We start from the raw sequence: 15,300 nt of genomic DNA on the forward strand, positions 1-15,300 counted from the left end.
ATGGACTCACTGGAGAAGCCTCACAATCATGGCAGAAGACAAAAGGGACATCTTACATGGCAGCAGGCAAAAGAGAATGAGAGCCAAGTGAAAGGGGAAATGTCTTATAAAACCATCAGATCTTGAAAGACTTATTCACTACCAGGGGAACAGTATGGGTGACACTGCTCCCGTGATTCAGTGATCTCCCACCGAGCCCCTCCCACAACATGTGGGAATTATGGGAGCTACAATTCAAGATGAGATTTGGGTGGGGACACATCCAAATCATATCAAATAGGAACACCAGAAGGGGTGGAGAATTGAGGACAGTTTTGTAACCAATCAACTGCAATGACTCCCTTACCCTGACAGAGCACTGTCACCTACAGGCTGTCTAGTGAGCTTCCAAATCACCCTTTAATGGTAGGTAGTCCAGTGCCCTTACCCCTATTATAGAGGTAGCTGAGGAAGCTGAGATCTAAAGAGACTTGCTCCAAATTGCTCCATGGGGCAGGCTTAGACTTGAATGTGAACCCAAATCTCCTGACTCCTAGCACAGGGCTCTTCCCCAGGCTCCTGGCTGCTGAGCTTTCTTGGTCCCTTTTTTTTTTTTTTTTTTTTTTCTGTTTCACATGGGCCCTGGGAGAACAGTGAGCTTCTCTTATTCATTTTTGTATTCCTAGTGCCTGGCGCTGACCATGTGTTCAGTTGACACATGGGACAGTCTGGGACTATTTTTTCAAAAGGCACAATGAATGGCAGTATATTGAATATGGAACACTTCCATTTTTGGCCACTCACCAAGCAAACTACTTTCTGTATCTGAGGAATTTCCCATCTTATGGGCCCCAGGTGGGTGATTAAGGCTTCACCAGTCACAAAACAAAACTCTCTTGGACCCCCACCCAAAAAGACAGGGTCTGGAGGGTTCTCTGTTGGGGTGGGGGCCTCACTGGTCCAATCCTGTGGTGTGAGTTTTGGGATTGTTCCTGTCCTCAAATCTCTAGACTTGGTTCTCCAGCCTTTCTGCCAACCACTTAATATCCTTTAATTAATTCCTTTTTCAGGAAATTACCCAGAGTTGGTATCTTAGTCTGTTCATGCTGCTGTAACAAAACACTGGAGACTGGGTGATTTATACGGAACAGAAATTTATTGCTCACAGTTCTGCAGGCTGGGGAAGCTCAAGATCAGAGTGCTGGCAGGTTTAGTGTCTGAGTAGGGCTTCCTTGGTGGCATATTCTCACAACCCCACCTCTTTTTTTTTTTTTTTTTTTTTTTTTTGAGACCGAGTCTTGCTCTGTTGCCCAGGCTGGAGTGCAGTGGTGCAATCTCAGCTCACTGCAAGCTCCGCCTCCCAGGTTCATGCCAGTCTCCTGCCTCAGCCTTCCGAGTAGCTGGGACTACAGGTGCCCGCCACCACACCTGGCTAATTTTTTGTATTTTTAGTAGAGACAGGATTTCACCATGTTAGCCAGGATGGTCTCGATCTCCTGACCTCGTGATCCACCCTCCTCAGCCTCCCAAATTGCTGGGATTACAGGCATGAGCCACCATGCCTGGCCCCGCAACCCCACCTCTTAATACCACATCATTGGTGATTAAGTTTCAACACAAGGACTTTGGGGAACATTCAGACCATACCAGTTGATTTCTGCGGCTTGCATTTAAAAACTCTGACTCTTATGTGTAGCAACTATTATGCTATATGCTACAAGTAACTGTCTTAAAAAGATCTTTTTGGCTGGGTGCGGTGGCTTACACCTGTAATCCCAGCACTTTGGGAGGCTGAGGCAGGCAGATCATCTGAGGTCGGGAGTTTGAAACCAGCCTGACCAACATGGAGAAACCCCATCTCTACTAAAAATACAAAATTAGCCAGGTATGGTGGCATATGCCTGTAATCCCAGCTACTCTGGAGGCTGAGGCAGGAGAATCGCTTGAAGCCGGGAGCTGGAGGTTGCGGTGAGCGGAGATTGTGCCATTGCACTCCAGCCTGGGCAACAAGAGTGAAACTCTGTCTCAAAAAAAAAAAAAAAAAAAAGAAAAAGAAAAATCTTTTCTCTGTCTCAGTTTCTTTATATTTAAGATGTGGAAAAGGTATGCCTCTCCTAAGCTCTGGAGGATAAAAGGGAAGTACATAGACAAAGAGAGGTGAAAAGGCTGGAAAATTAGCTTCAGAGAAAGACAGTTCAGCTGGAGCTATTTGGAATTGAATCTCACACCATATAGGACTTGCCTAATTGTTCAGAGGATTTCACACCCATATGTGGGGTGAATTGCTGCTTTGACCTTAAACATCAGAATCGTGCAACTGTTCAAACTGAATTAAGCTGCAGCCAGCATCAGCAGGTAGAGGTGAGTGTCTTTTGTCCTCTCAGCTGTTTGGCTGTTGGAAAGGTGTACTAGTTTCCTAGGGCAGCTGTAACAGATTGCTGCAGACCCAGTGGCATAAAACACCAGAAATGTATCCCCTCACAGTTCTGGAAGTCTGAAATCAAGGCATCAGCAGGGCTAGGCTCCCTCTGAACGCTCTAGGGAAGTATCCTTCCTTGGCTCTTCTAGCTCCTGGTAGCTCCTTGCAATCCTTGGTATTCCTTGGCTTACAAATGCATTTCTGCCTCTGTAGTCACATGGAATTCTCTGTGACTGTGTCTCTTCTTATGAGGACACCAGTGATTGGATTTAGAGCCCCCACCATGCTGGTAGTTAGAGCATTGGCTATAGAGCCAGGCTGCTAAGGGTCTGAATCCTGGCTCTGCCATTTATTAGCTGTGTGATTCTGGGCAAGTTACTTGATGTCTCTGAGCATCAGTTTCCTTTTCTGTAAAATGGGGATAATAATAATAATACTATACCTAATGCAAGAGTTGCTGTAAGGGTTAAATAAGCTAATATGTCAATGGTCTAGAAGAGCTGAATAAGAGTTTAACAAATGTTACTGTTCTTGTTATTTCTACCAATACATATTCATTGAGCACTTTCTATCTTCTAGACCCTGGCCTTGCAGCTTGAATACAGCATGGTCACCGGCATAGAAGGCAATAGTTATCCTGATTTACTTGGTATCTCTTAGTATCCAGCCCACTGCCTTGTTTGTGGAGGATGCTCAGGAAATATTTGTATATTAGTGGAGCGTTGGTGCTGATCTCCCCACTACGCTTTGGCTTCAGAACCTTGGAGCATGTATATATAACCTTCTATATTGACCCTCTTGTGAATCTGGGTGAATAGTGGTAGCTATAGTTTATGAGACTTTCCTTGTCACCTCTCCACGTAATGACCGAGAGCCCATCTCTGGGCCTTTGCATGGGCTGTTTCCTCTGCCTAGAACATACCACTCTCCAACTTCCCTTAGTTACCAACACATTCTCCTTCAAGTGTCTCAAAGAGGACTTCCCTTACCAGCCTGGCTAATGCAGGGCTGTCTGTTCTCAGCCATTCTTCTATCCTATCCTGTTATTTCCTTCAGAGCACCATTCTGTGCTAAACTTATCTAATTGGTTTGCATGCTTGCTTTCTCTCTCCTCCACCAAAATATAAGCTTTACAAGGGCAAAGACTTAGTCTAAGTGGTTCATCCATGTTTTCTGAGCAGGAACTGTACCTGACACATGGTAATTGCTCAATACGTGTTTGTCCAATAAATGAATTATCCTAAGAATAATGGCTAAAATTTATCAAGCACCCGCTACGTGACAGGTGTTGGCAGAGCACATTAGATATGTCATTTCACCCAATCCTGCAAATGTTATTGCCTTGAGCCTTACAGCTGAGGAAACTCAAAGAGCACACGGGACCTGCCCCAAGTTGCACAGCCAATGACGTTACAGCTTCATTCTGAGCCCTGGGTCCTGCCTTTCAAAACCCTCTGCTCTCAACCACCATGCTATGTATTCTGCCTCTTAGGGCATCAGGAAAATGTCTGGACCCTTCTCTTCCCACCCTCAGCCCTAGGGGGCTCTTGAGAAGATTAATTACAAAACTCCAGACTGTACTCAGCCTTGTGCAGGAAGCTCTGTTTCCACAGCGGGAGCAGCACTTGGGAGGGGCACCCAGGGATCTGCCAGGACTGGCTGTATCTCGAGCCCCAGAGCCCCCGAATGTGCACGCTGCTTGTGCCTCTGCTGCCTGCATGACAGCCTCGCCGTCACGTAGCGCTGGACCGCAGGTGTTCTGCACCAGACCCTCTTTCAGAGAGGAAATGCAATTAGGGCTGTACAGTTGGCAGACTTCATCTCCATTTCGGCCTTGGGAGAGGGATCAAAGGGCAGCAGGCAGGGCTGTGTGTGCATGTGCATGTACATGTGAATGACTGTGTGTCTTGGGTTAACCCCTGCGGGCCTGAAAACAGCTTTCAGGACTCACAGGGCATTGTTAGGAAGGGGAAAATGAATACTTTTCATTCCTGCCAGTGACTGTTGCCTCATCCTTCACCAATCATAGTTATATTTCTTGAGAACTTACTGTGTGCCGGGTACTATGTTGAGGACTTCATGTATATAATCTCATTTAAAGCTTATAACCACTGTATGAGCTTAGTGTTGGTGTCAATCTCATGTTTCCGATGAGAAAATGGGCTCAGGGAGGCTAACAGTTAGTTGGTGAAAGTCCAAGACAGGAATTAAACTCAGGTTGTTCAGACTCCACTTACCCACCACATTGTACTGCCATTCCAATAGCCTTGATGTTGCTTTTTCATTTTTAAAGCAGACTGAAAAACCTCTTTCTTTGATATGACACTCACAAATAGTTTCTTCTATGCAAACATTCTGTCCTACATTTCATTTTGTATAGGTGCCGCTGCTTTGTAACTCTTTCATAGTCATTATTGTATTAGGCAGGGTAGGACAAGTTATGCTGCATTAACAAATATCACCAAATTATAGTTGCTTAACATAAATTTCTTTCTTACTCATTTCAGATTCACTGCAGGTATGGTCAACTGGCCTTCACGTATTGGCTTAGCCCAATTATTTCAACAATTGCTTGGCAGGGAAGGAAAGCACAGAAAATCACTTAGTGGTTCTTAAATGCCTCTGCCCCAAAAGTGATGGTGTCACTTGTGCTCACATTTCATTGGCCAAAGAAATTCGCATGGCCATGCCTCACCTTAAGAGGGTGTATGACAGAAAGAGGCTAGGCATGGTGTCTCATGCTCATAATCTCAGCACTTAGGGAGACTGGGAGGGATGGATCACTTGAGGTCAGGAGTTCAAGACAAGCCTGGCCAACATAGTGAAACCCTGTCTCGACTAAAAATAGAAAAATTAGCCGGGTGTGGTGGCGGGCACCTGTAGTCCCAGCTACTTGAGAGGCTGAGGCAGAAGAATCGCTGGAACCCAGGAGAGGGAGGTTGCAGTGAGCTGAGATAGCACTACTGTGCTCCAGCCTGGGCAACAGAATGAGAGACTCAGTCACCAAAAAAAAAAAAAAAAGAGTATGACAGAAAGGACAGAAAGAGAGGAGACCTTCAAATCTTGTAGAGTCCTAGTAATGCCTCCCACACTCCCACAATCGTCTCTTTCCTCTCTCATCCCCTTCCCACTTTCTGTGACTGATTAACTCTTCTTGAACATCCACCAAGCCTACCCACCCTTCTTGGTGTCATATTGTTAAGCACAGTTCTATAAGGCACAGACCCCAGACTTTAGGTACACATAGACCTGGATGAGAGTCATCAATCCACCATTGTCTTTATTAGCTGAGCGATCTTAAGCAAGATACTTGACCTCTCGGAGTTTCAGTTATTTAGCTGTAAAATGGGGTTTATACAAGATTCTGTCTTCAGGAATAATGAGGATTACAAGAGATAATCTCTGTAAAGCTCCTAGCACCATGCTTGGTACTCAGTAAGATTATAATAGTAGCAACAGTTAACACCACCTACATCCATTGAATGCTTAGAGTAGGTGCTCAATAAATGCTATCTGTAAGAATTATTTTGGCCACTCCCACTTTTAAATTGTAATATGGTTATGAGTGTTTATTATCTCTCTTCTATTCATTTGTTCATTTATTCAAAAGGTATTTATTGAGAGTCCTTTATGTGCCATGTACTGTCCCGCAAGTTGGAGAAATATTAGAGAAGAGTTAGACAGTTTCTACCTCCATGAAGATTTCTTTCTTCTTTCCTTTCTCGTTTGTGTTTCTCTCTCTTGCTCTCTCTCTCTTCCTTTTTCTCTGACTCAAGGTTCACCCTCATTAGACATGTAACAGAGTTTCACTGAGTGTCTACTATGAGCCAGGACAATGGGAAAACATAGCAAACAAAGCAAGCATCATTCATGTTCAATAGCACAGCAGCAATTTTCACTCAGGAATTGGACAGTGCGGGCAGTGCCTGTAGGTTCTGACTGGGCCTGAACCCTTGGTCTCCAGAAGCCACCACTGTCTGTCTTAAGTCCCCCTGCTCCCCCGACCCTCAGCATCCTCCCCCAAGCTCTCCTATGCATTCTCACCAGAGCCAGTGGCTGCTGGGGCTGCCTGATTCTGCAGAAGGCTTTGAGGATGGAGCAGGCACACAGCTCTTTGAGTCCCAGCCTCTGACCGGCTACTTTCTCAGGCATGTCGGGGCTCTGCTCCACTCGCCTGCATGAAAAGCCAGAGCTGATGGACAAGGCTGCTATCTCCACCATGCTGACAGGAGACTCTCTGCACCTTGCAAGGTGCACCTCTGTGAAGAGAGACGAAAAGGGTCACTGATGGGGTTTAACCTTGGGCTATACAATGCAAATAAATGGAAACTTCTGAGTCAGAGCAAGGCCTGGTTTACATCAGAAAGACTAAAGGGCTGAGAATGGAGAGACCTGGCATTGGATTCCAGCTCAACCTCTAGCACTGCTTGAGTTGGGAGAAATTCCTGTCCTCTTCTGGCATCACTCCCCCTATCTGTGGTGTCTGATTCCTACAACACCTCCACTATTTGGCTTTGTATACTGCCTGGAGATTATTCACTGTCTTTCTTTTAAAGTGCCTCGCTTTAAATTTCCTTTAAAAATGTGTATTTTTTCATTTGTATAGATTTAAAGGGTACAAGTGCAATTTTGTTATGTCGATATATTACTTAGTGTTGAAGTCTGGGCTTTTAATGTATCCGTCACCTGAATAATGTATGCTGTACCCATTAAATAATTTCTCGGCTGGGTGTGATAACTCACGCCTGTAATCCCACACTTTGGGAGACCGAGGCAGGTGGATTGCCTGAGCTCAGGAGTTTGCGACCAGCCTGGGCAACACGGTGAAACCCCATCTCTCCTAAAATATAAAAAATTAGCCGGGCATGGCGGTGTGCGCCTGCAGTCCCAGCTACTTGGGAGGCTGAGGCAGGAGAATTGCTTGAACCCAGGAGGCGGAGGTTGCAGTGAGCCGAGATTGTGTCACTGCACTCCAGCCTGAGTGACAGAGCGAGATTCCATCTCAAAAAAGAAAAAAAATTCTCATTATCCACTTCCCTCTTATCCCTTACCCTTCACAGTCTCCAGTGTCTATTATTCTATTCCCCATGTCCATGTGTACACATTATTTAGCTTCCACTTGTAAGTGAGAACATGTGGTATTTGTCTGTTTTTGAGTTGTTTCACTTAAGATAATGGCCTCTGGTTCCATCCTTGTTGCTGCAAACGACATGATTTTGTTCTTTTTTAATGGCTAAATAGTATTCCATTTTGCGTATATACCATATTTTCTTTATCTATTCATTGGTCAATGGACACGTAGGTTGAGTCCAAATCTTTGCTATTGTGAATAGTGCTGCAATAATCATAAATGCAGGTATCTTTTTGATATAATGATTTCTTTCCCTTTGGGTAGGTATGATATTGTATCATACATTTATATTATGAATAAAAAGCCTATTATCAATGACTATAAATAGAAAACAGCCATGAAAATAAGTAGGAGGACAACAAACCCATGACATTAAATTATATGCAGTTTCTTTCCTGTTGGAAGGTCTGTCTGACTTGTTATATGTGAAAATGGCATGTTTTAGAGAGGTGTTACAGACATACCTGTGCCAGATGGAGACTTTTATGTGAGGCAATCAGAAAGATAGAAAGAAAATGGAGAATAAAGCACTGCCCAATTATGTGAATTGATATTATTTAATGTCATGTCTGAGTGCCACATAAAAACCAATCTCAACTCTCATCAGTGATAGTCATTCCTTATTTTTGGAAGCCTTGATGATTCTAAGGTTTCTTCCTGCTCACACATTTCAGGGTTCTTAAATACCGTGGTGAACTGGCTTTATTTTCTCAACACTCACCACCGCCTGGTGAGCAGGTGGCTTTGTTTCCTTTTTAAAATGAGTTAATTAAAGCCTCAATGAGGTTGGTCTCCATGCCTTCCATTGCTCAGCTTTCTTGCTTATTGTCCAAAAAGGCAATTTCAAACCTTTTCCATTCTCATGCCTCCTGATATTTACCATTCTCTCAGCAGATGGTAATGGACACCATCAGTCAAATGTGTGCCATCTTTTCCAGGCCACCCTCTCATCATTCCGCTTCTATGGCCTAAGAGACCTCTCACCTGTTCTTTGGAATCCCCCTCTTGGGTTCTCAGGGTCTTTATTCCATCAGTCATCCCCAATATCTCCAGCATTTTCAACTTCTCTCCTGTATTGGATCATTCCCACCTACATTTATGAGTATATAAACTTTTTTCACTATAAATGTACAATTTATTCGGCAATAAACAAGACTCTAAGGAACCAAGGTTATTTGGCAAAATACCTCCTACTTCTTTTTTGAGGACAGTTACCTATGTTTTGACAAATAGTTCAATCTGCTGGAGCAGGGGTCAGCAAACTATAGTCTATGGCCCAAATCTGGCCCACTGTCTGTTTTTGTAAATAAAGTTTTATTGGAACACAGCCAGGATCATTCAATTTATGCAGCATCCATGGCTGCTTTTGTGCTACAATGATAGGGATTGAGTAGTTGCAACAGAAAGAGTACAGCCTGCAAAGCCAAAATTATTTGTGGCTCTCTGCAGAAAGAATTTGCAGACCCTCATGCTAGAGAAGAACCAGTTGTGTATGTCAAGGTGAGGAATCCATCTGGGCTGCTCCAAATTTGTCACATGTCTAGAACTATCACCTCAATAGAAATGTGACCACTGATCAGAACAAACCATAGCTTGATGGTTCAAGAGCGGAATTGCACACTGGATGAGACAAAATTTGACCCATTCAACTCTTAGATTTTTGCCTGTGTTGAAGCAGTTTGGTGAGCTGAGCATTGTTATATTGGAGTAGCATGTGTTTTTGGAGGAGCAAAACTGGGTGGCGATGATGATATTTCATAAGAGTGTACATCCACTCCACATGGCAATCACAGCACAGTTATGTGATATGACATCCAAGTGAAAGCCCCCCAAAGTTTTACACACCATCACCTTCTCCCCCAGGAAATGCTTTGATGCCATCAGTCCCCAGCCTGAGCTCACCTGTCCTTTCCATGTGACACATCCATCTACTCATGCTTTTTTCCTGGAAGAAGCACATGCATTTAAATTACAATTTGGTTATCACGCATTTGGGATGCTGTAGTTAGTCAACACAAGATGAAACAGATATTTTAGGATGTTACAACTAGAGTATTCTTGTCTTAGAATTTTGGATAAGTCCCCAGACCTGTGAGTAATAGAGGCCAAGGATTCCCATATTCTAAATGGAGGTGCTAGACGGTTTTGGTAACTTTTGTAGGCCCCCAAATTGCGTTTTTCAGCATTAGCCCATCCCCAGTCTCCAGACTATGGGGGAGAAGGCTAAAGATTCATTTGTGAGTAAAAGTGTCTTTAGAAGTGTGTGTGTGTGTGTGTGTGTGTGTGTGTGTGTGTGTGTGTGTTGGACTTAAAGATATCTGCTTGAAAGGTTGAATTCTATCCTTTGAAACTCAAGGAATAGAGTAACTGTTACCTGTTGCACACCTAAACATTCAAAACCAAGATGCTGGCTAGAAGTAGATGGTGAGACAAGGTTGCCTGAAAGCAGTTTGCATTCGGCAAGGTTGCCTCAGAGTTACCCATGGGAGGGGGATGGCTGCGGTTTATCCTCAAATGTATGCCACACACGAGGATCATCTAGAGAATTAAGGCTATGCTAGGGTGAACTGCCAGGAGCCAGGACTGAGGGACAAATGAGTTGACAAAAGTTTGTTTCATGGGGCAATGGTGAAAAAAAAGTTTTCCATTAATTCCTATTCCTACCTTCAATCCCAGATAACCATTAATCTACTTTCTGTTTCTATAGAATTGCTTTTAAAAAACATTTCATATAAATGGAACAACATAGTAGTGGCCTTTTGCACCTGGTTTCTTTCGCTGAGCGTAATATTTTTGGGGCTTATCCATGTGGTAGCATGTATTGGTATTTTTGTTTCTTTTTTTTTTCTAGAGCATGATAGTTTTATTTATTTTTAAAAATTTTTGAAGTTTTAATTTTTGTGGGTACATAGTAGGTGTATACATTTATGGAGTACATGAGATGTTTTGATACAGGCATGCAATGTGAAATAATCAAATCATGGAGAATGGGGTATCCATCTCCTCAAGCATTTATCCTATGAGTTAAAATCAATCCAATACACTCTTTTATTTTATTTTATTTTAAAATGTAGACTTAAGTTATTATTGACTATAGTCACTTTGTTGGGCTATCAAGTAGTAGGTCTTATTCATTCTTTCTAACTATTTTTTGCACCCCTTAACTATACCATATCCCTGTCAGGCCCCCCAACTACCCTTCCCAGCCTCTGGTAACCATCCTTCTACTCTTGATGTCCATGAGTTCAGTTGTTTTGATTTTTAGATCCCACAAATAAGTGAGAACATATGATGTTTGTCTTTCTTTGCCTGGCTTATTTCACCTAACATAATGATCTCTAGTTCCATCCCTGTTGTTATAAAGGTACTACATTTGTATTGGTATTTCTTTCTTTTTATTGCTGAATAGTTTCAATTGCATGGATATGCTGTGTATGGGGACTATTTGAAAGTTCCTCAGGTGATTATAATGTGCAGACTGGGTTGAGAACCATTGAACTAAACCATTCTGTTATGAATAAGAACATTTGAGACACCCAAGCAAACATTTTTAAGTTTCTCCTGGTTTATAAAAAATCAGTGAAACTCCCCCAGCCTTATACCTCCATGCAGCGAGTGGCTTTTTCCTTGAACCTTCCTTCTTGATAAACTTCTTGGCTAGCGTCCCCAGTTTCTCTCTCCTACTTACTTCTCAGCCTTCTAGCACCAAGCTTCTGACATGACCACTGCTTGAAAACTGCTAAAGCTGAAGGAGATATTTCTGTCAACCTTGGTCTTAGCCTTGGGAGCATTTGTTCCAGGAATTGCTTCCTCCTTCTTGAAACTTGGACACTACATCATCAAAATTTTATGTTTTTCCTCTGAATTCCTGTTTCTTTTCATAAATATTTTATTTGTATTAGTTTTCTACTATTGTGTAACAAATTACCACACAGTGACTTAAAACAACACACATTTATGATCTCAGTTTCTGTGGATCAGGAGTGCAGGCACAGCTTACCTGGGTCTTCTGCTAGCATCTGTGAAGGCTGCAATTAAAGGGTTGGCCATACTTGGGCTGTGTTCTCATCTGGAGTCTTGACTGGGGAAAAATTCCATCCCAAACTCAGTGAGGTTGCTGCCAGAATTCATTTCCTTGTAGCTATATGACTGAGGGTCAGGCTTCTTGTTGAGTGTCAGCTGGGGGTGGCTATTAGGTCTTAGAGGGTCACTCATGGTTTTCTGCCATCTGGCCTTCTCACAACAAGGCAGTTTATTTCTCCAAGCCTGTAAGAGTCTCTCACTCTAGTCAGTTAAGGCAGAAAATTATATAATATAAAGTAATCACAAGAGTGGCATCCATCGCCTTTGCCGTATTCTATTGGTTTGAATCAAGTTACAGGTTCTACCTGCACTCGAGGGGAGGGAATTATGTAAGAACATGGTTTACTTTGGTGTTACTTTATGGTGTATCTACCATATCATTATAACATATTTTAAGGCACAGAAACCCATAGGAGATAACAGGAAGGATACTCATCTGTAAAATTTCTTGACACTTTGCCTTGTGTGTTTCAGAATTTTCTAAAGTAATAAAACCCATCAGATAGAGTTGCAGTCCCTTGTGTTTGTCCCCTTCTTATTTCTCCCTCTTGTCCAGGAAGTAACCACTATAAAAAATTTGGAATTGCACATTTTTATTCATGTTTTTATACTATTTCTATAAATGTATATATGCATGTATGGAAACTATATAAATGGAATCATACTGTACATGGGCTTCAACTTTCAATATTCCCTTTTTGAGGTTCATCCATGGTGACACATGTGGCTTTAGTCTATTCATTTGCTTTGTGTCCTAGTATTATCTCTCTCTCTTTTTGAGACAGAGTCTTCCTCTGTCACCCAGGCAGGAGTGGTATGATGTTGGCTTACTGCAGCCTCTGCCTCCTGGTTCAAGTGATTCTCCTGCCTCAGCCTCCCGAATAGCTGGGACTACAGGCACGTGCCACCACACCCTTCAACTTTTTTTTTTTTTTTTTTTTGTACTTTTAGTAGAGATGGCATTTCACCACATTGGCTAGGCTGGTCTTGCACTCCTGACCTCAAGTGATCCACCGCCCTGGCCTCCCAAAGTGCTAGGATTACCGGCATGAGCCACCATGCCTGGACATATTCCATTTATTTATTCATTCTCCTATTGATGGACATATAGATTGCTTCCAATTTCTTTTTGCTGATGCATCAATCATGCAAGAAACATTGTCATACCCATCTCTTTGAGCATGTGTGTGAGAATTTTTTTCCTAAAGGACACACCTGGAAATAGAATCGTTTGGTTGTGAGGTAATGCATCGGCAATTTTAAAATACATTTCCCAGTTTCTCTTCATAGTGGGTATAACCATTTTCACTCCCACCAAACACCCTTGTCTTTTTCATATCTGCCCAAGACTTGAGGTTGTCTGTTTCTTTTAATGATTATAAATCTGATAGGTGTAAAAATTGCTGATATGTTCAGTCACATTCCTGATTTTTAGTGAACTAGAACATAGTTTTTATTTTTATTCACCATCCAGGTTTCCTCTTCTAGGAATTGCCTATTCATAGACATAAAATTTATCCCTTTTTTTCAAACATGTGTCAAGGTGACCCGACCTGGAAGAGGGACCTGTTTCTACCTGTGGTTAGAATGTGGCACTGCTTTAGCCCCTCAGTGGCCTTTTCATGGTGGCTTTTGTCAGGAATGGCAGCAATGAGATCCTCTGAAGTTCTTCATAATCAAGAGATGTCAACAAGGAAGACCCGGGACAAGAGGGGAGGAATGGGGAGGACTCCACGTGGAGATGATAGCTGGACAGCTGAGGATGCATGAAATGCACGCAGAGACTCCCAGAAATATTGAACAGGGGACCTGCGTGAATACATGGAGGCAAGCCATGGAAAATGTAAGACACTGGGATGAATGGAGCATTTTCAAGGTAGCTCTTTCTGTGTTTATAGCAAGGTGAGGCAGGGGTATATTTGTTACACAGTTTAGCCTTTTCTGGACTTGGGGATACTATTGGCATCAGTTAGTTCCTTTTATAACTCTAGCAGCATATGTGTAAACCAAAAAGAAAAGTTAATCTTCCAAAAACAATGTTGCTTCCCCAGGCATGATCTCTCATATCATAAGGTCTCCTTCTGTCTCCTTGATTCATTTCTTCATTTCCTTCATGTCTACAGGAATAAATCACAGAAGGCTAGTTCTGGGATCATCACTTAGGGGTTATTTGGAACCCATGTATGGGAGAGTTTTGTCTTAAGCTAAGCAGAGCTCTTGTAAGCCTTGTCTGTCCACATCATCTGGATCCCTCATCAGGTGTTTGTGCGTAAGGACCAAACTCCAAAATCCATGGTAGCCAATAATCCTGACATTTTTGGAGGACCAGCTACTTCAGAGTGACTTTCAATCTTGGATTATTTAGGTCACTAATTAAAACAACAACAACAACAAACTGCCTTTGTGACCTCAATATCCATCCATCCATCTATACATCCATCCATTGATTTATTTATCTATTCATCCCCAAACTATTTAATGAGTACAACTACTAAGTACTGGGCTTAAGGTTTGCAGAAGAAAATATTTTGTATTCTCCTGAGTAATGTGAACTTATTCCAGGATTCAATACCCTCCTTTTCATACTTATGCATAAATCACCTATAAGAAAACCCTTTTGTTTTATTTTATGAAGTGTAAATGTTGTTTTCTGATAATAAAATTGATGTATAATTGTATTAGTTCATCCTTGCACTGCTGTGAAGAAATACCTGAGACTGGGTAATTTATAAATAAAAGAGGTTTAATCGGTTCACAGTATAGGAAGCACAGTGGCTTCTGCTTCTGGGGAGGCCTCAGGAAACTTACAATCACAGCAGAAGATGAAGTGGAAGCAGGCATGTCTTACATGGCTGGAGGGAGCAGGAGGAAGAGAGAGAATGGGGAGGTGCCACATGCTCTTAAACAGATCTCATATTAACTCACTCACTCACTCCCATGAGAACAGCACCAAGGGGATGGTGCTAAACCATTCGTGAAAGTTCCAATCACCTCCCACCAGGCCCCACCTTCAACATTGAGGCTTACAACTGACCATGGTATCCAAACCATAGCAATAATCGTTGAAAAACCTTCATTAAATCAGATATTTACAATTTAGATAGTGAAAATTCTTTTAAAACAAGATGGAATTATACTATACCTCCTATTTTCACTTAAAAATCTAAGGTAGATATCTTAGCCATGAGTCCATACAGATCTAACTCATTATTTTCAAATAGCTTCATAGTATTCCATTTTACGGAGGTACAATAATTTATTTAATACATTTCTTATTGATGAGCATTTAGAACAGTTCCAGTAATTTACTGTTATCAAACAAGGCTGCAATACCTTTGTTCAAATATATTTGTATGGTTTGTCAACAATTCAAAACATGATAAATGCCTAGAACTAGGATTGCTGAGTCAAATGGTAGGTGTATTAATAGCTATTGCTAACTTCCCTTCTAAAAAGTTTATGTGAATTTAAACTACTACTAGTAGTATGTACGAGTGTACACATTTCCCCACACTCTCACTCACACTGTGTGTCAGTGACATCTGGCAAGATAGAATAACCTCATGTTGTTTTACTTTGCATCTCTTGAAGTAATAATAAGCTTTAATATGTTTTCAGATGTTTATTATCATTAGTGGTTCTTATTTTATAAATTGCCTCTTCAAATTCTTTGCAAATTTTTACAGGG

The sequence above is a fragment of the Homo sapiens genome, chromosome 16 (genome assembly GCF_000001405.40).
Source record: "Homo sapiens chromosome 16, GRCh38.p14 Primary Assembly".
In the NCBI taxonomy this organism is placed as follows: domain Eukaryota; kingdom Metazoa; phylum Chordata; class Mammalia; order Primates; family Hominidae; genus Homo; species Homo sapiens.